At 51.6% G+C, this 27,999-nt stretch overlaps 2 protein-coding genes, 2 non-coding genes and 1 pseudogene across 9 annotated transcripts, besides 5 other annotated features; 1 reads left to right on the top strand and 4 right to left on the bottom strand.

Moving 5' to 3' along the window:
• Positions 1 to 879: 879 nt before the first annotated feature.
• On the bottom strand, positions 880 to 17,936 carry PRRC2A (proline rich coiled-coil 2A). Of its 3 annotated transcripts, none has more exons than NM_004638.4 (31): positions 17,793 to 17,936; positions 15,750 to 15,961; positions 14,742 to 14,919; positions 14,291 to 14,390; positions 14,129 to 14,201; positions 13,337 to 13,480; positions 13,040 to 13,191; positions 12,780 to 12,859; positions 12,489 to 12,631; positions 11,789 to 11,879; positions 11,453 to 11,669; positions 10,412 to 10,886; positions 9,317 to 9,507; positions 8,806 to 9,103; positions 7,850 to 8,060; positions 5,659 to 7,512; positions 5,004 to 5,272; positions 4,662 to 4,792; positions 4,286 to 4,415; positions 4,094 to 4,179; positions 3,674 to 3,898; positions 3,379 to 3,519; positions 3,186 to 3,257; positions 2,902 to 3,069; positions 2,602 to 2,684; positions 2,232 to 2,442; positions 2,043 to 2,141; positions 1,706 to 1,918; positions 1,515 to 1,609; positions 1,327 to 1,417; positions 880 to 1,205 (listed from the first exon to the last, which is right to left on the bottom strand). In NM_004638.4, exons 2-31 carry the CDS (start codon positions 15,859 to 15,861, stop codon positions 1,065 to 1,067), a joined length of 6,474 nt encoding a protein of 2,157 aa, NP_004629.3. In that variant the 5' UTR covers positions 15,862 to 15,961; positions 17,793 to 17,936; the 3' UTR covers positions 880 to 1,064. The 3 variants fall into 3 exon arrangements, with proteins under 3 accessions (NP_004629.3, NP_542417.2, XP_047275292.1); NM_080686.3 differs by having other exon boundaries at positions 15,750 to 15,924; XM_047419336.1 differs by lacking the exon at positions 1,706 to 1,918 and having other exon boundaries at positions 15,750 to 15,924.
• Positions 3,809 to 3,972: a silencer, noted in NCBI's record as "fragment chr6:31602456-31602619 (GRCh37/hg19 assembly coordinates)". NCBI's record gives its function as "represses an EF-1alpha promoter that drives an FKBP-Casp9 reporter gene in an ReSE screen in phorbol 12-myristate 13-acetate-treated (for megakaryocytic differentiation) K562 erythroleukemia cells {active_cell/tissue: K562(+PMA)}" and the evidence as "EXISTENCE:reporter gene assay evidence [ECO:0000049][PMID:32094911]".
• MIR6832 (microRNA 6832) lies at positions 4,793 to 4,864 on the bottom strand. The gene has a single exon (NR_106890.1). It is a non-coding gene; the product is annotated as a microRNA 6832 (primary transcript).
• Positions 12,926 to 13,872: an enhancer, noted in NCBI's record as "H3K4me1 hESC enhancer chr6:31592556-31593502 (GRCh37/hg19 assembly coordinates)". NCBI's record gives its function as "activates a minimal SCP1, AML or CMV promoter by ChIP-STARR-seq in naive and primed H9 embryonic stem cells {active_cell/tissue: H9 hESC(naive and primed)}" and the evidence as "EXISTENCE:reporter gene assay evidence [ECO:0000049][PMID:30033119]".
• Positions 13,873 to 14,820: an enhancer, noted in NCBI's record as "H3K4me1 hESC enhancer chr6:31591608-31592555 (GRCh37/hg19 assembly coordinates)". NCBI's record gives its function as "activates a minimal SCP1, AML or CMV promoter by ChIP-STARR-seq in primed H9 embryonic stem cells {active_cell/tissue: H9 hESC(primed)}" and the evidence as "EXISTENCE:reporter gene assay evidence [ECO:0000049][PMID:30033119]".
• Positions 15,441 to 15,572, bottom strand: SNORA38 (small nucleolar RNA, H/ACA box 38). The gene has a single exon (NR_002971.1). It is a non-coding gene; the product is annotated as a small nucleolar RNA, H/ACA box 38 (small nucleolar RNA).
• A 3,699-nt stretch (positions 17,937 to 21,635) lies between the features above and the next one.
• AIF1 (allograft inflammatory factor 1) lies at positions 21,636 to 23,417 on the bottom strand. 4 transcript variants are annotated; one of them, NM_001623.5, is made up of 6 exons: positions 23,297 to 23,417; positions 23,069 to 23,130; positions 22,915 to 22,981; positions 22,506 to 22,547; positions 22,145 to 22,307; positions 21,636 to 21,835 (listed from the first exon to the last, which is right to left on the bottom strand). In NM_001623.5, the coding sequence occupies exons 1-6, from the start codon at positions 23,319 to 23,321 to the stop codon at positions 21,751 to 21,753; spliced, it is 444 nt and encodes a 147-aa protein (NP_001614.3). In that variant the 5' UTR covers positions 23,322 to 23,417; the 3' UTR covers positions 21,636 to 21,750. The 4 variants fall into 4 exon arrangements, with proteins under 4 accessions (NP_001614.3, NP_001305899.1, NP_116573.1 ...); NM_001318970.2 differs by having other exon boundaries at positions 23,358 to 23,417; XM_005248870.5 differs by lacking the exon at positions 21,636 to 21,835 and having other exon boundaries at positions 22,141 to 22,547.
• Positions 22,151 to 22,651: an enhancer, noted in NCBI's record as "H3K27ac hESC enhancer chr6:31583777-31584277 (GRCh37/hg19 assembly coordinates)". NCBI's record gives its function as "activates a minimal SCP1, AML or CMV promoter by ChIP-STARR-seq in primed H9 embryonic stem cells {active_cell/tissue: H9 hESC(primed)}" and the evidence as "EXISTENCE:reporter gene assay evidence [ECO:0000049][PMID:30033119]".
• Positions 22,652 to 23,152: an enhancer, noted in NCBI's record as "H3K27ac hESC enhancer chr6:31583276-31583776 (GRCh37/hg19 assembly coordinates)". NCBI's record gives its function as "activates a minimal SCP1, AML or CMV promoter by ChIP-STARR-seq in primed H9 embryonic stem cells {active_cell/tissue: H9 hESC(primed)}" and the evidence as "EXISTENCE:reporter gene assay evidence [ECO:0000049][PMID:30033119]".
• Positions 27,295 to 27,568, top strand: UQCRHP1 (ubiquinol-cytochrome c reductase hinge protein pseudogene 1; annotated as a pseudogene).

Below are 27,999 nucleotides of genomic sequence, written 5' to 3'. Positions count from 1 at the left end.
TGGCCTCCCAAAGTGCTGGAATTACAGGCGTGGGCCACCGCGCCCAGCCTGATGTTTGTATTTTTTGTGCGAAAGCACTTTATATATAAATAAAAAACCTGTATTTTGAGTTGGGAGCATATTCCAGGTGCACACTAGCATAGAGCTCTCAAATTACCCATCAAAAAAAGTTTCTGAGCAGCTGCAGACCTAAGTATAGTCTTTAGCATAACTAGCATGCAGCGTTACCATGTGAAATCCCACTTAGTTTGACAATGCTGGAATTGGTCTATCCAATTCAAAGAGCCCCTTAAGTGTGCTCCAACATTGAGGCCTTAACAGAGATTTCCCCTTAGTTCATCATAAAGAACTGAAGTCCCATGGCTGCAAATTCTTTGCTAGTCCCTTTGAGATGCAGTTGAAGTCCCTTCTAAACCCCCCCATCCCCTACCTTGGCTAGTTTAGTGCTCTTATCAACTAAGCATGGCATAAGCTTAGAAAATTCCAGCTAGACCTCTTGGAACATGAGCTCACGGACATTTAACAGGCCTGCTGGAGAGTCCATGTGAAGACACTGGTTGATAACCCAGTAATGTTACAGATGTCCCACCAAGGCCCTAGATATGCAAAGGAAGCCATATTGGGACCAGCCCAGGTGTCAGCTGCAGACTGATAACCAGTTGACCTCGCTCACTGGCACAAAAAAGCAGATTTATCCAGCTGAGCTCAGCCCAAATTCCAGACTCACAAAAATTTAAAGATCCAATACGATGGTCATGTTTTTAGTTTCAACAGCTCACTGGAATAAGTAATGAATATTTCCCTGACTGAAACTACAGATCACTCAGCACCATGCTTTAAGACAATGCAAACAACTCATCCCCCAAATCATTGTAGAAGTTTTTTTTTTTAAATCCTTTTATTACTCTTTTTTAACAAACAGCCCCAGGGACAGGGGACCAGGGGAAGGGGGAGGAGGGGAAGTGAGGCCCCAGCCCCAGAACCCCTCCCCGCCCACCCCTTTCCCCCTTATATATTTATAATCTATATACAAGCCCCGGGGGTAGGGGGCAAGAGGAACTCCCTCAGCGGGGTGGGGGCAACCCAGGCTCCTTGTCCCCTCGGGACCCAGGCTCCTCTGCCCGTCGGGAGGGCCCTTCTCGAGGTGGCGGCCCTGTCCGCTCCCAAGGCTTAGGTATCCAGCGCAGGGCATCTGGTGGGGAGGCCTAGGGGACAGGCATGTGTTAAACAGTGAGTCACAGTGAGAGGTCAGCGATGAGACGGAAGGACAGGAAATCAGGTGGCAACTCGAATTTAGAGTTGGGGCCACAAGGGTTTCTCCTTCACCTGCTGGTAAAGGTCGACGCGCTGGGTGCGGAAGACTCCACTGTAGGTGGAAGGCGTGGCCTTGAGACGGGAATTGAGGCCAGAGAAGGACCTAAGGGAAGAAGGGCGTCTAAGGCAAGCCTAGGATCCAGACCCTGGTTCCAAAGTAAGGAAGCACTTGGAAAGTCCACATCCCTATTCCGTTTCACCTTCCAGTTGGGGGAGTCCGTGATGATCCAGGTCCCCCAAGGTTGCTGCTCAGTTTTTGATAATCCTGGAACGGCTTTAGTTCCACTGGATGCAGCTGAGGGGAAAAAAATCATGAGCTGCCTACCTTGAAATACAGAATCCCTACTCCCAAGTCTTGGCGCTCCCTAGCCCCTCAGTTCCTGTACCTTACCTCTGCTCGCCCCAAGCTAGCGGGGAAGGGCCTGGCAGGTGAAGGCAGCACCCGAGTAGCAGGAGCAGGTGGGGGCCGCACAGCCAGGCTGGGGGGCTGCAGAGCAGGGCCCACAGGTAACAGAGAAAGGGGAGGTGGGGCAGGAGGTGGTGCTGGCGGCAGGGAGCCAAAGTTCACCACAGGCAGCTGTGAGTCTACCATGGGTAGAAGCATCTGTAACAAGAAATTTGGGTGTGCATGTTGGGGGCAGGGAGGAATGTCAGAAAACCAGGGAAAATCAAAGCCAGCAACTGGACAGAGAAATCAAATGAAGGGGAAGTGTGAAGATACAATATACCTGCTGGGCAGGAGCCCCTGAAGGGAGAAAGCCACTTTGGCCACCAGGCTGCAGAGGAGTAGAATAAAAATCCGAAGGGGATGGCAGATCCTGGCGTACCTGTCGGGAAACAGGGAGAAATATATCAACCCCCACAAAATCATTCTCCCTACCCTATCCCCCAATATCTAATACCTGCCCCCCTCTTACCTGAAGCAACGATGTGTCAGGCAAAGGACTGGGGCAGAAAGCCGGAGAGTAGAGGAAGGAAGGTGGAGGGTAGAGAACTCCTCCAGCCGGCAACTTCCCCAGCTCTGTAGCTTGCATTGTGGAGAAATCCAGAAACTGGCCCTTGAGAGCTAACCCAGAGAGCAGTGCTGAGGGAGGGGCTGGGCCGGGGGGTAGGTATAGGGGCTGTGATCTGAAAATAAATTGTGGGGAGAAAAGCTGTTAGGAAGCCAGAGTCCTAGCAATGCCTTAAGTCCACTAGCTTCTAGTACCCTAGAACTGTGTCTTCCCCTTCCCTCTCCCCGAAACACATCTCCAAGTACTTCTGTGATCCACAGGCATCGAGTCTTACCTGTAAGGGTGCAGTGAGGGTGTCCCAGGGCGGAAGCCTCCACTGTTTGGATGTAATTGAGAGTCCATGGCTCCCCCAGAGATCTGCAGGAGAGGAGCACGGTTGAAACAGCTTTAGTATCTGTGGTCAAGAAAAAAGATCACCATCCCACCCATAGAAGCAAAAAGTAGGGAGAAAAATGATGTGACAAAGTGGTATCTCACAACTCTGCAACGTAGAAAGGCTTGATTATAAATACATACCAGGCAGAAAAAAATTATTATTCACTGAAGGGGTCATGCAATGGGAAGCGGGGCCTACCTGAGAACTGGAAGGCCCAGCACTGCCATAGAAAACCTCAGGATACAGGCGCTGGCCTGAGGAGCTGGGCTCCGGGACACAGTGCCCAGAATCCAGGTTCTTGGATTGTGGCTCAGCAGAGGCAGCAGCACTGGGAAGCAGCTCCCAGTCTCGTGATACAGGAATGGCCTGGGAAGGAGAGGCCTCGTGGAGAGGGATGTCTGGCATCCTGGACGCCCTGGTCACTCCCAGCAATCTTCCCCAGAAATCTTGGGCCTTTCCACCAAACTCTTACTCCCACTTACCTCAGTGACTGATGCTGTTAGCTCCTTCTCTGCTTTCAAGCTGTCTCCTACCACTAGGCGTAAGTCTGAGTCCTGTGATCACAAGAAGGCAGGAGACATTGTCCCGTGACAGACATGTGTCCTCTATGTCCCACCTTTAGTCCTTCCCTTCTCTCCACCCAACTCAGGATACCCAGATCCAGCCCACACAGACCTTGTCACTAGTGCCAAACTGGACTGGGGGACCAGGTCGATGGGATGGCCGAATGGGGCCAGGCTCTGTGCCTCGGTCTGTACGCTGTGATCGTTCTGTGCCAATGGGGCCAGGGGGCAGAGGCTGCTCCCGGGGCAGCTCCTGGATTGGGCACACAGTAAAGTGCATTGGGGGAGGGAAAGGGAAATCCAAATTGGAATGCCCAGAACACACACGCAGAGAGAAAAAGCAGAAAAAGGTAGGGCCAAAGTCAGATTCCTGGAAACATTCCCCTTATCCTTTTTTGGTCTTTTACCTTTCTGTCCCCATCGTGGGGGGCAGGTGGTGGTCTCCTAGGAGGTTCAGAGCCAGGTGGACCCTCACAAGGAACAGCATTCAGGGGTGAGGAGCCTCCAGGCCTCTTGGGGGGTCCCTCTGCTGCCCCCTTGAGTCCTCCATCAGGGGAACTTCGCTGGCTGCAGGGACCTGATGACACCTGAGAATCCCCACTCAGGTCCACCCCACTGTCAGACTGACTCATCTGAGAGGAGTGGAGAAGGAGCTAGTTAAGTCAGGGTAGAAAGCACCCCAATACCTGACTGATGCACACATACAAACTGCAGAAAGGGGACAGCCAAGTGAGAGAACAGCTCCAGACTCAACCCAGAGCAGGTGGGGGGTATGACCAGTGCTCAAAAAAGTCCCAGCTCAGACACACCCTCCCACCCTCACTCACTTCTGTGCCAGCCACATCCTCAAAAGGACTCAGGGGCTCCATCCAAGGCTCCATGGAGCTGGGCCGGTAACTCTTTCGGCTAGTGGCTGGAGAAGGGAGCACCAACCAGAAGAGAAGTGAGGAGATGACAGTTCAGAAGCCCCTCTCATTCTTAACCCTTCTACCATAGTCCTTTCACTCAGCTTTACTCACCAGTATGTAAACGGTTCCAGATGTGAGGGGTCAGGGCCTCTGTGCCTGTATCTCTGGACTCTGCCTGAGGGCCTGGGCCCTCAGGCTTAGAGCCCAAGAATCCAGAGCTATGAGGAGGTGGCAAAGATTCCTACAGATGAGAAGGGCCAGAAGCAAAACATGAATTGGGTGGGAATTGGGAATTATAGGAAGCCAGGACAGAGTGGGGTGACACAGGGTGTGGGGACAACAAGGGAGACACATGGGAGACTAATACTGAGAATTCTGGAGTAAAAACACAGTGAAAGAAACAGGAAAGAAAACAGAGAAAACATAACCCAGAAGAATTTTCACGAGTAAGAGTGCAGTGAAGCACAATCTCAAACCCATCCCTTACCTCCTGTAGCAGCTCTGGTTTTCTGGGAGGCCGCTCCCGACGTTTAGGGGGAAAGGGACTAACCCCGGCAGAGTCCCGAGGAGTCCCACCCACCCCTCTCACCATTGGCCCCGGCTCCTCAAAGTGGGGGTCTGGGAAAGAGAAAAAGGGTCAGCATCTGCCTGGCTCTGCCACTGACCCTAACTTTTCCTCTCTACTCCACCTCCCAATTCTTCTACCCTTGCTCCCTGCAGAAACGCACCCAGCAGCAGGGTCCCTAGGCCAGGTTCTCCACCCGCTCCCTCCAGCACTTGACCTTCTCTGGGGATGGAGATATTCCCACCCATAACCCCTCCAGCTTACCAGAACTGAGGCCGCTGTTGACCCTCTGGGGCTCGTATCGGGTTGGGGGCCTAGGAGAGGGGCCCTGAGGGGCTTGGGGAAGCCCAGGCTTGTGCCTTGGATGACCCCCTGGTGCAGTTACACTCCCTTGACGGCTACTAAGCTGGGCCAGAGCCTGTTGGATGCCAGCAGGGTTGCTGTGGATAACTTGGTCCAGGCGGAAGACAGCAGAACTGCTGGGAGGTGGGGGAGGCAGGGGAAGCCCCGGGGGACGCTCCTCTGGAGGACGACTGGAGAAAACAGAGCATTAGCTCCAGTATCCACTAAATCGTTACTTTTTCCCACAAGTTATGTTTCCCAACTTCTGCTTACAACCTATTCTCTTCCCTATTAAAGTCCAGGTGTTTTTGAGTCCTTCTAAGGATTCCTATGCATACAGATGCACAGACTGGAAAGCAAAGAACCAGCAATGAATACATAGGTGGGTGTTCTTGACTCTAACACCCTACCAACCGCTTTCCAGTTGCCTTAGCCAGACATGGAAATCCTACTGACATTCTAGAGCCCATGGCCCCTCAGGCCACAATCTCCACTCCACCCAAACTTATCTTTCCCTCAGGCTTTTTCCCCCTCCTCCAATTTTTAAACCACAATAAATTTGTTTGTTCCTACCCACCTTCGGTTCTTGGGAGAGGGCCAGCTCCTCTTGTCGCCTCGTCCTGGCCCGGTCCTTCCTCCAGGACCCCCACCGCCTCCTCCACTGCTGCTGCCACTGCTGCCAGCCTTGCCCCCTGGGCCAGGGCGCCGATTCTGCCGTTCCATGCCTGGCCGCTGACTTGAGAAGCTCCGTTTACTCAAATCCTTGGCTCTCTGGCTCAGATCTCCGCGGGACATGGCTGAAATACCTGGTACGGCTCCACCTCCACCTCCCCCAGGAGTTCCCACAGCCTTGGGTGTCAGCAGTACTGGTGGGGGTGCCTCTTTGTCCCCTCGGCGCTCACTGGTGAAGTCACTGCTCTCTGATGCAGTCTCCCATTCCTCATTGGCTTGGTCTGAGTTCTGGTTTGACAGATCAGGAGACTTGGCAGCTGCCCGGCGAGGTGCTGGGGCCACTGTGACTGTTGTGAGGGCCTCCTCAGGTCCAGGAGCGGAGGCTGGAAGGGTTAGGGAGGGCTTGCCCTCAGACCCCCTTGCGGCATTCTCCCGTTCCTGCTTCAGCCTCCGGAAACGAGGCGGTTTATCCTGCTGCTGAGCCCTCCCATGTCGCCTCCTTCGGGGTCGCTCCCCATCTTCCATGCCCACATTGCTACCTCCATTGCTGCCTCCGCGCGCCACAGGGGACAGAGGCCCTGGGATCAACTTCTCTTTCAAAGGCTCCTTACTTGGTGGCAAAGGGCCTGTGGGAGGTTTCTTGGGAGCCAGAGACTTGGCTGGAGGGCTCCAGCCTGGGCAAACTTGAGGAGGGGGCCTCCCTCCTCCTCGGCCCCGGCGAGATGGCACCCCTCTGGGAGTGAAGACTCGCCCACCCCGGGCAGTGAAGCGGGCTGGGGCTGGTGAAGGTGGGGCTCCTGGTGGTGGGGGAGCGAGAGGGACCTGGGTGAGTGTTCCCTCCTTGGGTGTGGGAGCCTCCTTGTCTGAAGGAGCCAGATCACTCTCATGGGTCTCGCTGCCTGTTTCTGAGCCCCGCTGCCGGCGCCGCTTGGGGATTTCCTCATACTCTGAACCCTCGCTCCGTGTCTCGCTGGCAGTGCGGCCTCGGGGAGCAGGAGGGTGGTTTGGTCCCCCTGTCCCACCTCCACGCCCATCATCTCCTCGAAACTCTCGGTAACTGCGGAATTCCCGGCTTCGGGCTCCCCGCCCTCGTCCCCCATAGGTCCCCCGAAAACCCCTCCCTCTGGCAAAATACTCGCCTCGGCCCCGACCCCGGCAAGAGGTAGGACCCACTCTTTCATACGAATAGTCCCTCCGAAGCCTTGGGGCAGGGGAAAGATTTCCATTGGGTGGGGTCTCCTTGGGGCCCCCTAGCTTCCCCTTGGTTATCTTGAGTGGGTCTGGCTTTGGGGGTTTGGGGGTTTCATCCCCCTGTTCGAGGGGCTTGGGAGGCAGCTCTTCTACTTTTGTAGGTGGTGGAGGTTTCTTTATAGGCCCAGCCCGGCGGGGTGGGGCCCCTGGCTCCTCTGGAGGGATTCCACGACGACTGCTCCCTGGACGAGGGCCCCAGCGGGTCTCTGTGCGACTCTCTCTGCGTGGTGGTGGGGGGCCCTGGCCTCCACTCCCGACTCCGCGGGCAGGCTTTCGGCCTGCTTCTGGCCCCGTCAGCTGTGCAGTCTCCTCCTTAGGGGGCTCCTTCTTGGGTGGTGGAGTTTGTATCTTGGCCACTTCATCACTGCCTGGGGGCCAGGGGAGTGGACGGGGCCCTGGTTCCTCCAGAGGAAAGCGAGAGATTGGGGGCCCAGGGGCTCCATTCTCAGGAAAGCCTGGATAACTGGCCAGATAGGGTGGTGGGGGAGGTACTGGAGGAGTCTCGCTCCTGAAGAGACAGACAGAAAGAATGGAAATAAGTATCTCAGGAAAACCAGAACTAGGTGGGAAAAGAACACTTTATTATGATGCAGACTCTCTTTTACTATTTTTCTGTTTGTTTTGGCAGAGATGGCATCCAGTTGCCGAGGCTAGTCTCGAACTGCTGGGCTCAAGCAATCTTCTTGCCTCAGCCTCCCAAAATGCTGGGATTACAGGCATGAGCCACTCCATCCAGCCTCTCCTTTCCCGTTCATCCCTATCCCTACCACTAACCCAAAGTACCTTTCTCCCAGGCCTAGATCCTTTCACTGTGAACTCACCCATTTCTCATGACCAAGACTCACCTCATCCCCTTGTCATCCTCATCCGCAGCCTGGCGCAGAGGTGAGGTAAGTGGGCGGGGTTCAGCGGGTGTGGCGGTGAAGACATCTCCTACCCAGGCCAACTTTGGATCCACCGGTGGAGTGCCCCGTTCCCGTAACATAGCAGGTGCATGACGGTCAAATGGCTCTGAGCTTGAGCCCCCACTGTCTGAACGCTCTCGGGGAACTAGGCCTGAAGAAACCAAAGAAAAAGAAAAATAATCCTATTCATGTCACAAGCCCTCCAGCCCAAAAAGCATCTCCCCTCGCGGTCAAGTCAGCTCTTCCATCTCTTGTTCCCAGTAGGTCCGGGCCTTGCCTGCTCTTATATAACAAGGTTATCCACTCAGATTCCCTACAAGAGAATCAACCCACCCCAAATAAATCCTGGCAAATGAAGGACCACTGCTTCTTTCATTCATTCATTCATTTTTGAGATGGAGTTGTGCTATTCATTCATTCATTTTTGAGACGGAGTTTCGCTCGTTGCCTAAGCTGGAGTGCGATGGCACAATCTCGGCTCACTACAACCTCCACCTCCTGGGTTCAAGCGTTTCTCCTGCCTCAGTCTCCCGAGTAGCTGGGACTACAGGCGAGCGCCACCACGCCGGCTACTTTTTTGTATTTTTAGTAGAAATGGGGTTTTACCACGTTAGCCATGGTGGTCTCGAACTCCTGAACTCAGTTGATCTGCCCACCTCGGCCTCCCTAAGTGCTGGGATTACAGGCGTGAGCCACAATGCCTGGCCAACCACTGCTTATTTCTTAACTAAGCCCATTTTTGCAACAGAGCTATCTCAGCAGTGCCAAGCATATGCCCTTCCCTCATCACTATGATGGGCAAAACCTATCGTACCAGAGTCACAGTAAGACCCTAATATCCAATGCCTAAGACTGAGGGGACTTTCCTGTTTCTCACTCCTCCCATGCCCCCTTACCAGAGGGATGCACACCAGGAGGGTAGAAGTCTAGAGGGGGACGACCCTGGAGGAGCCGGGGGTCCACATAAGGAGGAATCATCATCCATCGGGGATCAAAGTTCATTGGGGGCATGGGTGGGGGCCGGCCCAGAGCACCTGGGTACAGGGCCTTGGGGGGCGGGGGTGGAGCCTGTGGAGCTGGCACAGCCCCCAGGGTCACAGGCTGTGGTGGTGATGGGGGCACTGGGGTAGGAGGGGCAGAGCCCTGTTGATGCTGCTGCCACTGGTGCTGCTGCTGCTGCTTCAGGAGCTGCTCCTAGGAAAGGAGGAAAGACAAGATGAGAGAGGCTCAAAGCACACATGGACAAAGGAATCAGCAAAGAAAAAACTTGGACTAGGGGAAATTGGCGTGACAATGGAGACAACTGGACAAAGAAGCAAAGGGACCCAGAAGGTAACTTATGAAGAGAATTAGGGACCGAAGCCAGGAAGAAAAGCAGCCCTTAGAGGGTAAACAACTTGATTTCACCTGCTGCTGCCGCTGGAAACGAGGAGGCAACGACTTCTGATATTTGGGGTAGCCCAAGCCCTGACTAGGGGGCTGGCGGGTGGGACCAATCCCATCACCCTTGGGTTCCACCTTTGGAACTGGGGGTGTGGTAGGAGGAGGAACCTCTTCTGGTGGTTCAGGACCCTCTTTTGAGGGCAGTTGTGGTTCCACTGCATCGGAAAAAACACAACAGAGTGATCTAGTCCAACAATAGACACTCCATGAACACCCCAGGAATCTCACGTCTCATCTCTAGCTCCCTTAAGACTAAAATATTCTATTCAACATCTATTCTATTGAAGCCCCTCCCATTTAAGACCCATTAAAGCACTTCATGGCCTCTCATGAGCCTATGGTGGTGGCATTAACTTTCTATGAAACCATTAGAACAACAGTACTTTCTTCAGTCTTGGCCTATAGGAAATAGTTTTCATTTTTATTTATGTATTTCTTGTGAGACAGGATTTTTTTTTGAGACAGAGTCTTGCTCTGTCACCCAGGCTGGAGTGCAATGGCATGGTCTTGGCTCACAGAAATCTCTGCCTCCCGGGTTAAAGCGATTCTACTACCTCAGCCTCCCAAGCAGCTGGGACTACAAGCACATGCCACCACACTTGGCTAATTTTTGTATTTTTAGTAGAGACGGGTTTCACTATGTTGGCCAGGCTGATCTTGAACTCCTGACCTCATGTTCTGCCCGCCTCGGCCTCCCAGAGTGCTGGGATTACAAGTGTGAGCCACCATGCCTGGCCGACAGGGTCTTGCTTTGTTGCCCAGGCTGGTCTCAAACTCCCTAGGCTCAAGCGATCCTCCACCCCAAGCCTCCCTAAGTGTTGGGATTATAGGCGTGAGCTACAGTACTCTGCCAAGAAATGGTATTAGACTACAACCTAAGATTCCAGACAAAACCTTCCCTCCTTCAGATATACAAATGATAGAACACTATCACTGATAGTCCAATAAACCAAAACAACTGCCTTCTACTTCATTTATCCCCAGCCTTACCACCCTGCACCTTTAAGCACCTTGAAGCAGTGATCTGACATCTGGTAGTACCTATCCCCATCTCCATACCTGGGCTGGCTTCGAAGCTGCCACTGCTGGTGCTACTGGTACTGCCACCACCACTCACCAGAGTGGGAGCCGCAGCCACACCTGGAGTAGGAGTAGATTGGGCAGGAGGGGCCTGTGCTGGCTCTTCAGGTTCTGTCTCTGGTGTTGGGGCTGATGCTGGAGGTGGAGCTGGAGGTGCAGGGAGTTCTTTAGGGACTGCAGGTGGTGGAGCTGGGGTAGAAGGGGCAGCAGGTGGGGCAGCAGGCTCTGCTTTGAGCCGCTTGTCAGGTGCCCCAAACTTTTCATCGAGTCGCTTGAGCTTCTCAGCACAGGCTGCCCGGCGCTCTTCTTGCATGCGCCGCTCCTCTTCTTCTCGCCGTCGCCGGGCCCGCTCCACTGCCAGGGAAATCTCAGATGACGACTGCTTTCGTCGCTGCCGCCATGCCTCATCCTCATCTTCAGGTGCTGGGGGCTTGCAGGGAGGACCCCCACGATCCTGTCAATTGGCAAGACCCAGCAGGGCCAGGGGAATCAGTTACTATGCTTTCTATCATCTCTTTTACAACAAATCAACTGTCGCTACTTGCAGGATGCAACGACCCAGGCTTTGGGGTTGATCTCTCTGGGTGGTGACAAACTCATTATCCTGGTCTTCTTTGAGACCACGTCTTGCTATGTTGCCCAGGCTGGTCTTGAACTTGGGCTCAAGTGATCCTTCTGCTTCAGCCTGCTGAGTAGCTTGGACTACTGATGCATACTAACAGATCCAGCTATCTAGCCACCCTAGTCTTTTTATTTTTCTGTTCCCTCTCTCCTTCCGAAACCCAAACACCCAGGGCTCCTTTTTCTTCTTTCCTCATTAGCATCCCAGTTTCTCACTTCTTACCCAGACTCCCCTATTACCAAAGATATTTAAAAGCTTCCCAGGATGTTCTGCAGCCTGGCACTTCACACAGCCCATTTTTAGCACCCCCCTTCCTCTATATCACAACCGCTTCAATTACTCAGCTGACACCAATTTCCCACAGCTGACCCTCTCAATCCCTTATTGGAGACACTCACTGGGTAGTCCCCAGGGGGGCCCCAGTTCCCGGCGGGGCCCCGGTGAGGTGGGGGTAGGGGAGGCTTTGGGGCAGGAGGTCCCGGCTCTGTCTCTGGAGGCCGAGAGGTTTCTGCCCAGGCCGTCTTAGGAGTGGGCGGTTCGCTGTTGGGGGAGTTGCCCTTTTTGCCATCTGCTTCAGGGGGCCGTTCCTCACCAGAAGCTGATTGGGAATCCCTGCTGTGAGCAGATCAACAGTGAAATTAAAATCAGCTGCAACTAATATACTCCTCTAAGAGTATATTACCAAAATACAAACCAAGACCCCCTCCTCTTCTCCCCTGATGGCCCTAACTCACTGGCCCTCAGCACCCTCCTCATCAGAGTCTCGCCCATCTTCCTCATCGCTGAACTTGAGCTTTTCAGTGTAGTCAACCTCTTCATGGGCCCCTGAGGGGAAATATGAGTATTAGTAACCCAAGCATTCTGCCCTCCAATCTTGGGAGGTAGTCTGGAACTATGTAACAAGATGGACTACCAATGCCAATATCCTTCCCTCCGAAGTCTAGATCCACCAATGAAGTCTTGTCATTCTTACTCCTCTCACCACTTTGCAAGGACTTGGTATTCCCCATCCATCCTCCCCTACTCTTTTTTTTTTTTCCTTTTAAAAGTCTCGCTCTGTTGCCCAGGATGGAGTTCAGTGGCACGATCATAGCTCACTGTGACCTCCAACTCCTGGGCTCAACTGATCCTCCCACCACAACCTCCAGAGTAGCTGGGACCACAGATGCACAGTCCACACCCAACTAAAAAATTTTTTTTTTTTTGTAGAGGTGGGGGGTCTTGCTGTGTTGCCCAGGCTGGTCTTGAACTCCTGGCTTCAAGCGATCCTCTCACCTAACACTCCCAAAGCACTGGGATTACAGATGTGAGCCATTGGGCCTGGTCTTCCTACACTTCAATGTCTGCCTTTCACCCACATAACCCTGTATTTTTTTTTCCTCATTAGGTTTTGCCTTTCAAGATCCAAATTCTTGACCCTTAATATCCACTTACCTGCCCAACCATCATCATTCTCCTGATCCAACTGATCAAACTCTTTGAGATTATCCTCTTTGAGAATAGAGGGACGACCCACAGGCTCTACTAAGCGCATTGGTGGCCCTGAGCCTCGGGGGCCCGCCACACGGGGAAAACGGCTGTACACAAAAAAGAAAATGAAATATGGCATGTTGTATAACCACATGCGAGACTGATCCTAGACTGAGCCTCCTGGCTAGAAAACCATCTCCTCCCCCAATAAGCTTCCCCTGCCCCCAGCCACAAACCCAGACCTGGATTGCTCACCTGGGCCCATCAGGAGTGGGGTATCGGTAAGGCCCCTGGGGTCCATAGGGCGGAGGGAACGGGAGATATGGGGGATACATCTGTAAAAGGGTCCAACAGTAGCTGCTCAGAGGGACAGTCATATACCCTTCTAGCTCCTTAAGCCTGCTATCAATCATCCTCCCACCCTCCCTTCTATCTCATAGGTCAAAGACTAAGTCCTGATTCCTAGCTCTCCAGCTTCCAGTGTAATCGTTCCAAGACAAGACACCAAGACTCACGAAAGGCGGCATCATTCCGCGGTAGGGAGGGAACTGGGGTGGGCCTGAAGGCTGTAGCCCACCCCGGGGATCATGACCATGATGAAGTTTGGAGTCCGGGCCCTCCAGCTCATCAGGGCCACGCCCACCTCCGTCCCTCCAAGTTGTAGAATCTGTATTTTGGAAAAGGTAGAGAGAGGTATCAATGATTGGAGGACAAGTGAACACAGCTGAAAGTGATGGGGAGGAAGGTGAATAAGCCAGCACCTAGCTCTGAGATGCAATAGGTAATGTCTTGGCCAAAAGGCAGCCACTCACTTTGGGGGCGGAGGCTTGGTCCGGGCCCAGACGACTGTTCGGCAGACTCCCTTTCCTTGGCAGCCTTGTCCTGGTCGCCAGCCGCCTGCAGGGTCGGAAATTCCTCTCGAGAGAATCGTGACAGTAGGCTTGATGCCCTTCCACCTATTAGGATGGGGATGCAGAACAGGAGACAGAAGACATTTCCTGAGGACATGCTATAAAAGTGGAAGACTCTGGCTGGGCGCGGTGGCTCACGCCTGTAATCCCAGCACTCTGGGAGGCTGAGGCGGGCGGATCACGAGGTCAAGAGATCGAGACCATCCTGGCCAACATGTGAAACCCCATCTCTACTAAAAACACACAAAAAATTAGCTGGGTGTGTTGGCGTGTGCCTGTAGTCCCGCTACTCTGGAGGCTGAGGCAGGAAAATCGCTTGAACCCAGGAGGCAGAGGTTGCAGTGAGCCGAGATTGCGCCACTGCACTCCAGCCTGGGTGACAGAATGAGACTCCGTCTCAAAAAAAAAAAAAGTGGAAGGCTCTGACAGGTACCAGACCATCAGGTTTCCCGCCTTCAAACTCACCCCCCTACAGAATAACTGCTTATTCCCCAAGGAGGTCAGTTCTGGCACCACTACACTCCATCATATAAGACTGAGACTTAAACTTGCTCATGTGCCTCCATGAAACTGAATATGGGTGGTCCTTGATTTAGCCAAAGAGGACCAAGGTCACTTGGCTGAAAATACAGTGCAGGGTTCATGCATCCCATGGTGCCCAGACACAGCTCCCCAATTAAGTGCTGCACTCACCATCTCCATGTGCTCCATGGGTGACGCTGGCTTGTGCCCAGGACTTTACCCCGCTTGGAACCAAAGGAGTGTTCTGGGGAAGTGTTCAGAAAGATGATAAATGATGTGGGTGGGGCAGCTATGAACCATTCTTCCTCCCCACCCCTCCAGTTCTCCAGGTACCTCGGGGGCTGCTGGGGGTCGTTTCGGCTGGTTGGAGGCAGGCGTCTGTGAAGCCGGCAGTGGCTGCGATTCCGGCGGCTGAGCGGTTGAGGCATCGGAACTGAGGGGACAGAATGGGAAGGTTATTCACACCTGAGATGCCTCCCTGACTTCTCCAACTGGTGGAGACTCAGGACTGAAATCATGCCCATTGCTACCATTTACAAATATAAGGACAAATTAATTTTGTCATCCTTTGTAGGCTGTTGTCTATTTTTTCATGCTCTCTCTCCAAGACAAAAAGCTAAAGTTTAGTACCATTCCTTAGTCATTTAACAAGGAACCTGCAATAGGTAAGAAAGGGACCTCTTCGTCTCTGGCTCAGACGTGGCTGGACTAAACCAAGCCCCAATGCTCCCTGAAGTTCAAGTTAAAATACCCATCACTCTAGGTCCCCCAAGCCTCTGTCTACCTCTTGGGGTCGGACTGCTCCTGTTTGCTTGCCCATCCTGTTCCGTCTTTTGGCACTAGTGAGACATTGGGGTCATTGCCTTTGTTCTCGGCTTTCAGGCTTGGAAGGTTGGCTGGAGGTGGCATACGCCGGGCAATGGCAACTTTCCCGAGACTCTGCAGGCCATGGCGAGGGGCAACTGGAGAACAAGACGGAGAGAGGGTCGAAAATGCCTCATGTGGGAGATCTGATGGCCTCCTATCCTGGGACACATTTATACATGTTGAATATTTTATTACCTACTTCCTCCAAACTTCTCTTAGAAGGGATTCCTTCCCCTGCCCTTAATAATCTCTGAAATCGCGCTGATTGTGGTGGCTCACACTTTGCAATCCCAGCACTTTGGCAGGCCGAGGCAGGCGGATCACCTGAGGTCAGGAGTTCAAGACCAGCTTGACCAAAATGGAGAAACCCTGTCTCTACTAAAAACACAAAATTAGCCGGGTGTGGTGGCGCATGCCTGTAATCCCAGCTACTCAGGAGGCTGAGGCAGGATAATCGCTTAAACCCAGGAGGTGGAGGTTGTGGTAAGTCAAGATCACACCATTGCACTCCAGCCTGGGCAACAGGAGCTAAACTTGGTCTCAAAAAAAAAAAAAAAAAAAAAAAAATCTATGAAATCCCTATCAAGAAGGCTGAGATATGTAACATTCAATACTTTTATGTGAGATTGGTTGATCATGAGCCTGCAAGAAGCAAGCTGGCCTCAAAGTTTCCCAAATCCACATTTATTTTCCTCCAATTCTTACGTGTCCAAAGACAGGGAACCACAGACACGCCTTTGTAGGAGGATAACTGGTGTTCACCCAGAGCCCACACCCCCTTTAAAGGACCCAGTGTAAAGTTGGGAAATCTCCTCTAGTCTTTTGGTATTTCTACTACAGCCACTTCCCTTTAAAGAGCTCTAAAACGTATGCCCCATGCATGCCTAGCTTTCAACCATCAGAAGCATCTTTGCAGGACTCTCACCAGCGGGTTTCTGGATCTCTAAGGACTTGCCCTTATACGTATCAAACAGGTTGAGCGAGGAATACTTCTTTCCATCCTTTCCCTTGGCAGTCGGCCCCGAGCGATCGGACATTGCGCTGGAAGCTCATTGAGTATGTTGGGTCCTGCAGGCACCTCCCCCAAAACGTGCCAGAGCCTGTGGGCCAGACAGCAAGTGTCTCAGTCTCTGTCCCCTGTACAGACCATAACAGAAACTTAAAAACTCCATTGCATTATCATTAGGGACTCAGATATGAGGCCCTCTGGTGTCTTTTCCTCCAGTCTATGTAAACTGCCCACTCTTCTCAAGCAACCATGATCTACTTAGCTCCCTCATAGCTCAAATGCCATGTTCCCTCCTTTCCCCCAGACACCTTTGTCAAGGAAATCTAAGTAAAAATCCAGCATCCTCCTAGTATAAACACTCTGCCCTTTGTGCCTGTCTACAAAGAGTAATTCCCTACAAGTAATAATCTCTTCTCTCTCCACCAAAATCGTTTCAGAGACTTACAACAGGACAAATTCAAGCAAGAGAAAACTAAAAAAGAAGCATACAATTCCATCAGAGAAGAAGAAACAACACTTTAGATTCCCTGTTTATTGGACACAAGCTCCCTAATCATGCCCCCAGGGCCCTGTACCCCAGGCTCCCAGCCCAGCAGCCTCGTGTCCATCTGGGAAGGTTTGCAGGAAGGTATGCTGGGAGTTTAAGGATTTTATGAGCTTGCTCAGCCGGAATGGGGGTTGGTACCAGAGAAATCCTCATAGAACAACTAGGGCTGTACATACTCCCAGGCTATAGGAACCTCAAGTATTTGAAATATCCCATCTTTTCCTAAACTTGCTCCTGTATTGGCTCCTGGAAAAAATCGCCTCCAGATGAAATACTGTTTTACCATATGAAGAACTGAGAAAAAGCATTATGGAGCCACCTTAGCACCCTGTAACCATGGGCCAGAAAACAGAGGGCCAAGGCCAGAGCCATCTTCGTTTTCCTATCCTCATTAAAAATGTCCATCACCAGTGTTTCTTTACTCGATACCTCCAGCTCCCTAAGCAAGCCGGACGACAGGTCTCTCAGTCCATTCCAGAGTGACCAGGCATTCGTTTATGGACGGGAACAGTGTAAAGAGATGAGAAATAGTGGGGAAGAAAGCAGGGAAATCCAGACAGGCCCAGAATGAAAGCTAAAATTGGGGAGAAAGAACTTTATGACAAGCTAGAGATAAGATGGATGTTGCTTCGTAGGTGTTTGAGGAGGCCAATCTGTGAAGATAAATATATGAAGGGAAAACGAATACAAGAGTCATGTAGCGAATAGACCAAAACTAACAGAAAATAATGAATACGAAAGCAGGTGGAAAATATATGGAAACAGGAATGGCAAAAAAAAAAAGGATGTAGACAACGAAGTAAGGGGGCAGAGGCCCAAGAAGAAAAACGGGGTTGGGGGAGAAAGGAGACGAGGAACAGGAAAAATGAAAAAGCAGACATAGGGCGACTGAGCAACATAGAAAGCAAAGATGCTGGGATAAAAGCAGGATTCTAGAGTGGGAGTGGCTCGACACGAAGAGGGGCGTCCAGAGGGGGGAACACAGCGCTGGATGATAGGAGGGGGTCCAATATGGAGGAAAAGCGCCCTTCCGAGAGAACCGTCGGGCGCGGCCCACCACCACGGGGCGGCAGCCGGGGAGGGGGCCCACAAATGGGGGTGAAAAGCCAGGAGCGCAGCGGAGGGTAGGGAGTTACGGACCCAGGCGCAGGGGTCACCCCCTGAAGCCAAGACGGTGGGTGGTTAGGGGCAGACTACGGATCCTGAATGAACTGCCGGAGGTGCGGGTCCCGGAGTAGAGGTACCGGAGGGGGAGGGGCAAGCAGGCCCGGCAGCAGGAGGACAAAATGGCGGCGGCTAATGGCAGCTTCTCCTCCCCCCGGCCCACCACCGCCGCCGCCGCCGCCACCGCCACCGCCACCACCTCTCCCGCGCCGGAAAAGGGCGTCAGCGCACGGTTCACCCAGACTCACCTGGCCGGGTGCGCGGGGATCCGGGACCCGGGCCTAGGGGCTCCCCGGGACGGGATGGCGGTGGGGCGGGGGAGGATGGCGGCGGATGGCGCCGGGTTCGGCTCCTCCCGTCTCCCTCGCTCACTCCGCGGCTGAGCCCCGACTAACGGCCCATCCGGGCAACCGCCGCCCCCGGGAGCACCCCCTCCCACCTCCCACCTCCCTCCGCGCCTAGACACGCCCCTTAATTTGCATAAAGGGCGGGGCACTTTCTACCCTAACCCTCTACTTCCAGGGCTGTCTTTAGTTTAAAAAAAAAAAAAAAAGGGCCGGGCGCGCGGAGCATGCGGAGGTTATTTGCATAAAGAGGAGGGACTTAAGGGCACTAGGACCCCGATTGGCTAAGGAGGCGGGCCCCCAGCGTCGGCCGTTGAGCCGTGTTGAGGGGGCGGGAATGCGGTGCAGGTCGGCTGGGCGGTTGGGACGCAGAATTTACACGACGAATGTGGGAGAAAGAGGCGGAGCGTGCGTCGGACGTTAGTAGAAAGATGGGAGCGGAGAGACGTTGGGACGCCAAAAGTGGAAGGCAACGACACACGGCCCGTGGCGCCTTCAGCTAGGGAGAAAGAGAGAGAGGACGGGGGCTGGCGGGCGGGATTAGCTGCCGGAGGGCTGAGTTTCCGCAGGCCTGGTAAGAGTTCCAGCTCTCGCATCCCTTTGCCGTGAGTTTGAGGAGGTGGTTGGAGCGGGGAAATGCACCAGAGGGGCGGGGCCTTCCAGTTATTATATTACGTCATGCAAATGAGGTGGCTAGACAGACCAATCCAAAGGCCCCGGGAAGCGTTTCGTCCGCACCACGCAGCGTAGGCATTCTTCGGGCAGTTCTACCTATTTGCATAATGTATGCAAATCATTTGAACAAAGATAGGCTAGGAATGACTCGTTCATCAAAATATGGGCAACCATCGACTAAGACGGACATTTAATTTTATAACCTATAATTTTCATGAATAAATTTTTATATTTGAAATTATTGGGAATTTGTAATTTCTTAACAATGGGTTTCATTTTGTGAAATGCAGTACTGTTACCCTCCTTTGTCTCTTACTACCCGATTCTAGAACTCTCTGCTCCCATCAGAGTTATACCCATTCAACAGATCATTCAATGACTATGATTTGAAGGCGCTGGAGATAATGCACAGGATATTATAGAAGTAGAGAAATAAGGCCTGGCGCGGTGGCTCACGCCTGTAATCCCAGCACTTTGGGAGGCCTAGGCAGGTGGATCACGAGATCAGGAGTTCAAGACCAGCCTGGCCAACATGATGAAACCCCATTTCTACTAAAAATACAAAAATTTGCCCTACGTGGTGGCGGGCGCCTGTAATCCCAACTACTCGGGAAGCTGAGGCAGAGAATTCCTTGAACCAGGGAGGCGGAGGTTGCACTCCAGCCTGGGTGACAGAGCAAGACTACGTCTCAAAAAAAAAAAAAAAAAAAAAAAAAAAAGAAGGATGGGCGCGGTGGCTCACGCCTGTAATCCCAGCACTTTGGGAGGCTCAGGCGGGCGGATCACCTGAGGTCACGAGTTCGAGACCAGCCTGACCAACATGGAGAAACCCCGTCTCTACTAAAAATACAATTACCCAGGCGTGGTGGCGCATGCCTATGATCCCAGCTACTCGGGAGGCTGAGTCGGGAGAATCGCTTGAACCTGGGAGGCGGAGGTTGTGGTGAGCCAAGATCGTGCCATTGCACTCCAGCCTGGGCAACAAGAGCGAAACTCTATCTCAAAAAAAAAAAAAAAAGAAAGAAGTAGAGAAATAAAATATGATTATGCCTGGGGTGATTGAGAAATGTTTCTAGAAAAACTCTTATTAAGAGATATGAGGCCGGGCGTGGTGGCTTATGCCTGTAGTCCTGGCACTTTGGGAGGCTGAGGCGGGCAGATCACAAGGTCAAGAAATGGAGACCATCCTGGCCAACATGGCAAAACCCCGTCTCTACTAAAAATACAAAAATTAGCTGGACTGGTGGCGCGTGCCTGTAGTCTCAGCTACTTGGGAGGCTGAGGCAGGAGAATCGCTTGAACCTGGGAGACGGAGGTTGCAGTGAGCTGAGATCACGCCACTGCACTCCAGCCTAGCGACAGAGTGAGACTACGTCTCAAAAAAAAAAAAAAAAGAAAAAGAAGAAAAAAAGGGCCGGGAGCGGGAGCAGTGGCTCACGCCTGTAATCCCAGCACTTTGAGAGGCCAAGGTGGGTGGGTCACCTGAGGTCAGGAGTTGGAGACCAGCCTGGCCAACATGAGACTCCATCTCAGGAAAAAAAAAAAAAAATGATATGAAGAATGATCGGAGTAGATATCTGTCAAAAATATATAAATAAATAGATATGAAGAACGAGTTAGAACTTACCCAAGTTTCAGAAGAAGGTGTACATCTCAGGTGCAGAGAACAGATTAGTGGAGGCATGAGTTTGGGGGCCTGTGCCTAGGCTGATATGGCTAAATAAAGGAGGCGGCTTATTCATTATGAAAAGTGAAGGCAGAAAAGTTTGCGGAAATCAGATGAGAATTTTAGTCAGAGGCTCAGTAAGATTTAAGATGACTTCTGTTTTCAAACTTCCAAAATGATTCTCTTCTCCCTTCTCCCCGGCCGGCTACCACACATACCGTTTTGTTACCCTTTGCAGCAAAATTCTTAAAAGGGATGTCCATAGTCATTGTCTCCAATGAGTTTCTCCTTCCAGTCTTTTTTTTTTTTTTTTTTTTTTTTTGAGACAGAGTCTCACTCTTGTCACCCAGGCTGGAGTGCCATGGCGTGATCTCGGCTCACCGCAACCTCCACCTCCCGGGTTCAAGCGATTCTCCTGCCTCAGTCTCCCGAGTAGCTGGGATTACAGGCACCTGCCACCATGCCCAGCTAATTTTTTGTATTTTAGTAGAGATGGGGTTTCACCATGTTGGCCAGGCTGGTCTCCAACTCCTGATTTCAGGTAATCTGCCCGCTTCGGCCTCCTGAAGTGCTGGGATTACAGGCGTGAGCCACCACGCCCAGCTGTAAATTCTTTGCTTTATTTAATAGCACCAGTTCTTTCATTCATCTACCCATTCAAGTGTTTTTTGTTTGTTTGTATGTTCGGTTTTTTTTTTTTGAGACGGAGTTCGCTTTTTAGTTGCCCAGGCTGGAGTGCAATGATGCGATCTCGGATCACCACAACCTCCACCTCCTGGGTTCAAGAGATTCTCCTGCCTCAGCTTCCCAAGTAGCTGGGATTACAGGCATGCGCCACCACACCAGGCTAATTTTGTATTTTTAGTAGAGACGGGGTTTCTTCATGTTCGTCAGGCTGGTCTCGAACTCCTGACCTCAGGTGATCTGCCCACCCCATCCTCCCAAAGTGCTGGGATTACAGGCATAAGCCATCGGCCCCGGCTCATTCAAGTTTTAAACATTATTGAGGGCTTATGATATGTCAGGCACAATAGCATAGGTCACTTTATCCCCATTTTTAGAAAAAAGCCTCACAGAGGCTGAGTGATTTGTCAAAGTGACAAAGCTTATAGTGGTGGAGAATGTTGGTTCATGGTATTCCTTGCTCTTCATGAAATCTGTCATGGGCCTGAGTACCTTGTTTGGACATGTGTTTTTGACCTGCCTGCATTCTTTGAGGTTAAGGCTGTCTTACACAGCTGGAATCCCCCTTGGTGCGTGAAACCATCTGCTGTAGTGGACACACTATAGCGTTGTTGATGGATTGTTCATATGGCCAAATCCTTGCCACCTTTCCCTCAAGACCTGTCTCTCCTTCCCAAACCCAGGAAAAAAATCACCCAAATAAAAACTAAGCTGACTTGATCTGGAGGAGGGGGTAATTTATTTAATTTGTTGACTCTGGCTTACAATTTTGTCTTCTGTTTCCATATCTGGGTCATTAGAAGCCCCTTCAATCCCATCATCCCTTTTCCCTTCAAATCAGGGCAACTCAGAGATAGCTTTCTTGGCTGGGGGGCCTGTTGGCTTTTCCTTTTCTCTCGCTTTTTCCTCATACATCAGGATCCTGGTTGAGATGGGAAGAGGCACAGGGATCAGGGAACACTCCTCTCAAGGGAATAAATCATAGGGTGCTAGGAAAGGCTAGAAGGGGATGGGGATGTGAGGGTGGAAGGGGGAAGAGGAAGGGCAGGGGTTGGAGTTTCTGGGGACCAGGACTATGGATAGGGATGGGGTCGGGACCTTGGAAGGGTCCCTCTAAGGATGGAAGAAGGGATGATGGGCAACGTGTAGAAATGTTGAGCCTGTGGACAAGGGTAGGGATGGGGGAGGAGAAAACAGGTAAGTACAGGGGAGGTTGGAAATTGACACTCACATTTTTAGGATGGCAGATCTCTTGCCCAGCATCATCCTGAGAAAGTCAGGGTAGCTGAACGTCTCCCCGGAGCCACTGGACACCTCTCCAATTAATTTCTTTAGCTCTAGGTGAGTCTTGGGGACTCCAAGTTTCTCCAGCATTCGTTTCAGGGACATGATATCTGGGGGCAGAGGATGGGGATGGGGAGAAGGTGGGGAGACCCTCTCTCTCCTCTCCCACTTCCGCATCCCCATTCTCCTTCCTCCCACTGTGGTAGGTGGGCCCCCTCCCAAATCATGAGGAATGGAGCATGTAGGAGAGACCTCTGTCTTCTTAGGCCTGCACACCACCCTGCCCCCGCAAATCACCCGTTTCTCACCAATATCGCCATTTCCATTAAGGTCAAACTCCATGTATTTCTCTGGGTGAGGGGAGAGAGCAGAAGGGATAAGCGCTGACTGGAGGGTTTTCAGCAGGGGACTGAGGAAGGGGTTGCCAACCAACTGCTAGGTGGAGGAGACAACGTGGAAGGAGGAGGAGGGGCAGGCAGAGGAAGTGGGGTTGGGGAGTTGAGGGGCCCCGCTAGGGTGTAAGGAGCTAGAGGGGATGCTGAGAGAGGCAGGCCCGGGAAAGGGACCGCAGTGTGGCAGGAGGGCAATAAAGGCAGGTTCCCCTTTTGCTACCACAAAAGTAAACTTTTTATCTCTGCTGTTCCTGCCTTGTTCTTGTGGAAATCCTAACCCTCCTACCCCCAGCCCTGTCTCCACCGCCTACAGTTTCCCCCTCACCTTTGAAGCCTTCCAGTTTGGAGGGCAGATCCTCATCACTGCTATATTTGGGATCGTCTAGGAATTGCTATGGAGGGGAAAATAAGAGCCAGGGTAGGCCCTCCCCATCCACGCCCCATCCCCCTGGCTCTGCCCCCTTAGTTCTTCCTTCTACCTTGTTGATCTCATCCAGCCTCTCTTCCTGCTGGGCCTTCAGCAGTCCGAAAGCTTTTCCTCCTGTGGGGTGAAAAAAATTAATCAGCCCTCATCCCTCCCTTCCTCTCCTTACCCTGACACCAGCCCGGGCTACCCTAGGCCAGCTGACTGCCCTCCTAGCCCACAGCCCAGGTCTGTCCATCTCATTCCTCCGATCTAATGCCGCTGCCTATCCCACCCTCCCTACCCTGTAAATCCCTGGTTTGGCTCATAGCTCAGCAGATGCTGGTAGAGGTGGGGAGACAGACCAAGCTGGAGGCCTCTGTCTGCAGGCTCTCCTTCTCTCCCACCAGTCTTCTCAGAAGCCTTCCTCCCAAACTTCCCCTTTCCCCTCATTCCTTCCTCCTCTGCCTCCCAGACCTCACTTCCCCATCAGGTTCTGCTGACACTAGCACCCCAGGAAGGAGGGGGAGCCTGGTGTGAAATGCAGATTAGAAAATAACATTCTCCCAAATTCCTCTTAAATGAGAGCCCAGTGTGCGCATGAAACAAATATTTTGATAAGCCACTGGAGGTGTGCAGGAAGGGCAGGAAGACACCAGGGATATTTATTCTCAGGAACTAGTATTTTTGAACAGGTCCAAGGTTCAGGTAATGATAAGACCTTGCATTTTGTCAGGTTTCATGAGTCTGGGCAGGCAGCTGTGGATAGGAAGACAAGGAAGGGCTGGCTGAATTTTTCTGCTCTGTAGATCGGAGAAGAATCTGAAGTCTGCTGGCAGCTCCAGGAGGGTGACAAGATGGGCACAGGGTTTAGAAAGGGAGAGAAACCTCACTCCCAGCCTGGCAGCTCCAAGGAGGCCCTTAAAAATATGGAAATGTCTAACAAAACATTTTAATTTGTTTGCTTTAGAATGTGCAACGTAACCCTCTCATCTTATCTCCTTTGAAATCTTTAGTAAAATCTATAGAGATCAGGAATTTAAGAGTTTAAGTAGATTCTTTGGAGGAACTGAAAGTGGTACTTAAAGAAACAGCGTTTGTGGACAGAAGAGCCAGGGAGTGAGGCTGACATCAGGTTTGCACACTGCACGTGCGTGCACACATGCAGGCATGTTTGTGTGATGGTGGTGCTGGTCACTGTGGGTTCAACAGAGTGGATGATAGCCTCTGACACATGCCTCCCTAGGCATAACCTTTATCCCCTCTGTCACTCTGTTTGGCCAGTCGCTTCTTGGAGAGGTGAGGACAGCACATTTCCCTCATTGAGATTTCCTGGTCCAAACTCCCTGCCCAGGGCTCCATCTACCCTGCCCCGGCATTGATGAAGACACCTTTCCTTCTCCCTTCCCCCCAACATATTTCCTTTTCTGTAGCTGGGAGTTTTCACTTCTCACTGCCCTCTCCCTGACCCAAGCCAGGTAGGGGAGATGCTGGAGTGGCCTCTGGCTGCTGCTGCTGCTTTTTTTTTTTTTTTTGAGTCGGAGTCTTGCTCTGTCGCCCAGGCGGGAGTGCAATGGTGCAATCTCGGCTCACTGCAACCACTGCCTCCTGGGTTCAAGCAATTCTCCTACCTCAGCCTCCTGAGTAGCTGGGACTACAGGCGCCCACCACCACGCCCAGCTAATTTTTGTATTTTTAGTACAGATGGGGTTTCGCCATGTTGGCCAGGATGGTCTCTATCTCTTGACCTTGTGATCCACCCACCTCAGCCTCCCAAAGTGCTGGGATTACAGGCATGAGCCACTGCACCTGGCTGGACTCTGGCTTCTTGACTTCCCTTTATTGCAGCTACATTCTCCTGCTGCAGAGAGAGCTGCAACCCTGTACTCCCAATGTTCTCAGTGCCTGCTGGGAGGAACTCACTTCTTTATTCATACGTTCACTCAACAGATATTTACTGAATGCTTACTATATGCCAGACATGCCTCTAGGCCCAGAGAACCCAACAAATGAAAACTCTTGTCTTCATGGTTGATCTAATTGGGGAAGGCAGACAATACAAATAAATAAGTATATTAAAGGTGCTAGGTGGCCAGGCGCAGTGGCTCACGCCTGTAATCACAGCACTTTGGGAGGCTGGGGCAGGCGGATCACAAGGTCAGGAGTTGGAGACCAGCCTGACCAACATGGTGAAACCCCATCTCTACTAAAAATACAAAAATTAGCAGGGCCTGGTGGTGCGTGCCTGTAATCCCAGCTGCTCAGGAGGCTGACGCAGGCGAATCGCTTAAACCCGGGAGGCAGAGGTTGCAGTGAGCTGAGATCGCGCCATTGCACTCCAGCCTGGGCAACAGAGTGAGACTCCGTCTCAAAAAAAAAAAAAAAAAAAAAAAAAAGGCGCCAGGTGCCTATGGAGGAAAACAAAGTAGGGAAGAGGGGACATAGGAGTATTATTGCCAATGGTCCCCAGTTTTTTGTTTTTTGTTTTTTGTTTTTTTTTTAAACGGAGTCTCACTCTGTCGCCCAGGCTAGAGTGCAATGGCTTGATCTCAGCTCACTGTAACCTCCGCCTCCTGGGTTCAAGCGATTCTCCTGCCTCAGCCTTCCGAGTAGCTGGGATTACAGCCACCTGCCATCATACCTAGCTAATTTTTGTATTTTTGTAGAGGCGGGGTTTCACCATGTTGACCAGGCTGGTCTTGAACTCCTGACCTTAGGTGATCTACCCACCTCGGACTCCCAAAGTGCTAGGATTACAGGCGTGAGCCACTGCACCCAGCTTTTTTTGTTGAGACAGAATCTCGCTCTGTTGCCCAGGCTGGAGTGCAGTGGCACAATCTCAGCTCACTGCAACCTCTGCCTCCCGGGTTCAAGCGATTCTCCTGCCTCAGCCTAACGAATAGCTGGGATTACAGGCGATCACCACTATACCCGGCTAATTTTTGTATTTTTAGTAGAGATGGGGTTTCACCAAGTTGGCCAGGCTGGTCTTGAACTCCTAACCTTGTGATCCTCCCACCTTGGCCTCCCAAAGTGCTGGGATTACAGGTGTGAGCCTGACTTGTCCCCAGTTTTAAATATGGTGGTCTGGCCAGACACGGTGGCTTACGCCTGTGGTCCTAGCCACTTGGGAGGCTGAAGTGAGAGGATCGCTTGAGCCCAGGAGATCAAGGCTGCAGTGAGCCATGACCGTGCCATTACACTCCAGTCTGGGCAACAGAGTGAGACCCTGTCTCAAAAAATACAATAAAATAATAAAATAAATAGAGTGGTTAGAGAAGCGTTCTCTGAAAAAGTGATATTTGAGCAAAGATTTCTTTTCTTTTTTTTGAGATGGAGTCTCACTCTGTCACTCAGGCTAGAGTGCAGTGGTGCAATCTCCACTCACTGCAACCTCCACCTCCCGGGTTCAAGTGATTCTCCTGCCTCAGCCTCCAGAGTAGCTGGGATTACAGGCACCTGCCACCACGCCCAGCTGGCTAATTTTTTGTATTTTTAGTGAGACGGGGTTTTACTATGTTGGCCAGGCTGGTCTTGAACTCCTGATCTCATGATTCGCCCACCTCGCCCTCCCAAAGTGCTGGGATTACAGGTGTGAGCCACCACGCCTGGCCGTTTGATCAAAGATTTTAAGCAAGCAAAGGAACAAGCCTCTGTCTTCCTAGGCCTGCACACTTCCCCAAATCACCTTTTTTCACTGATATCTCTGTTTCCATTCTGGTCAAACTTTATGTATTTCTTTGGGTAAAGAGAGAGAACAGACAGGGTAAGCACTGGCTAGAGGGTCTTTGGCAGAGGATCGAGGAAGGCATTGCCAACCAAGTGCTAGGTTGAGGAGAGGATGTGGAAGGAGGAGATGGGGCAGGCAGAGTGGGCTTGGGGAGTTGAGGGACCATGTAAGGTGGATATACGGCTAGAAAGAAAAATACTTATTTTTTTTTTTTTGAGACAGAGTCTCCATCTGTCGCTAGACTGGAGTGCAGTGGCGCGATCTTGGCTCACTTCAACCTCCACATCCTGGGTTCAAGCGACTCTCCTGCCTCAGCCTCCCAAGTAGCTGGGACTACAGGTGCGCACCACCATGTTCAACTAATTTTTGTAATTTTAGTGGAGACGAGGTTTCACCATGTTGGCCAAGATGGTCTCGATCTCTTGACCTTGTGATCCACCCACCTTGGCCTCCCAAAGTACTGAGATTATAGATGTGAGCCACTGCGCCTAGCCAGAAAAATATTTATTGATCCTAAAGTGGAGTCAGCGCCACTGTTGCTGCTAGTGTTGAATCCAGAACCATAGCTGGACATGGGATCAGAGGATGAACAAGAGATGCTGACTGGGCCTAGAGATGGCAAGGAGGAGGAGGAAGAGGAAGAGGAGGAATTAGTCAATTCCTAACAAAAGCGAGAGAGCAGTGCGTGCAGCTGAAGAAAGGAGTAAAGTCTCGGAGCAGCTGGAGCTCTGTGATGAGCACGTGTCTTCCAGATCACAGACAGGAGAGGATTGCACAAAGCTCTTTGACTTCTCTAATGCAAGGGACCATTGCATGGCCCACAAATCCTTTAACAGTTTGAAATGAATGTGCAGACTCCTTCACCCCAGCTTTCATCACCTGGGCATTTCTCTATGGTTTTAAATATAACATTTGTTTCTAATTTGTGTAACTATAAGTCCATGTGAACCTCATGGATTTTTGGCTTAGGCAAATAGCTTCTCTGTAATTGGCAGCAATTCCATCTTAATAAGGGAACTGTGATTTGCAAAACGAAAAAATATACTGTTTTTTTCTTTTTCCTTTTTTTTATTCAAGGGCTAGTGAATCTTGGGATCTCAGGGTTACATCGAGGTATATTTATCATCATCATTATAGTCCAGGACTAAAAGGAAGTTATTCCAGGCTCTTTGCAAAGAATCTCAGTTTTTTTTGTTTGTTTGTTTTATTTTGTTTTGAGATGGAGTCTTGCTCTGTTGGCCAGGCTGGAGTGCAGTGGTGCAGTCTCTGCTCACTGC

Source organism: Homo sapiens, chromosome 6 (genome assembly GCF_000001405.40).
Source record: "Homo sapiens chromosome 6, GRCh38.p14 Primary Assembly".
NCBI classification, from domain to species: Eukaryota; Metazoa; Chordata; class Mammalia; order Primates; family Hominidae; genus Homo; species Homo sapiens.
Note: the sequence above shows the minus strand (reverse complement) of the source record. Positions and strands in the feature narration are given on the sequence as shown.

Bases quoted from the DNA above. Each gene is read 5' to 3' on its own strand.
- PRRC2A (NM_004638.4), bottom strand. From the start codon at position 15,861: ATGTCCGATCGCTCGGGGCCGACTGCCAAGGGAAAGGATGGAAAGAAG. The intron at 14,202-14,290 runs GTACCTGGAGAA...ACACTTCCCCAG, and splicing joins GACCCCCAGCAGCCCCCGAG to AACACTCCTTTGGTTCCAAG. The intron at 3,070-3,185 runs GTAAGTGGGAGT...TCTCCTTCCCAG, and splicing joins TAACAGCATCAGTCACTGAG to GCCATTCCTGTATCACGAGA.
- AIF1 (XM_005248870.5), bottom strand. From the start codon at position 23,321: ATGAGCCAAACCAGGGATTTACAGG. The intron at 22,982-23,068 runs GTAGAAGGAAGA...TCCCCTCCATAG, and splicing joins GGCTGGATGAGATCAACAAG to CAATTCCTAGACGATCCCAA. The intron at 22,548-22,914 runs GTGAGGGGGAAA...CCCCTCACCCAG, and splicing joins CAAACTGGAAGGCTTCAAAG to AGAAATACATGGAGTTTGAC.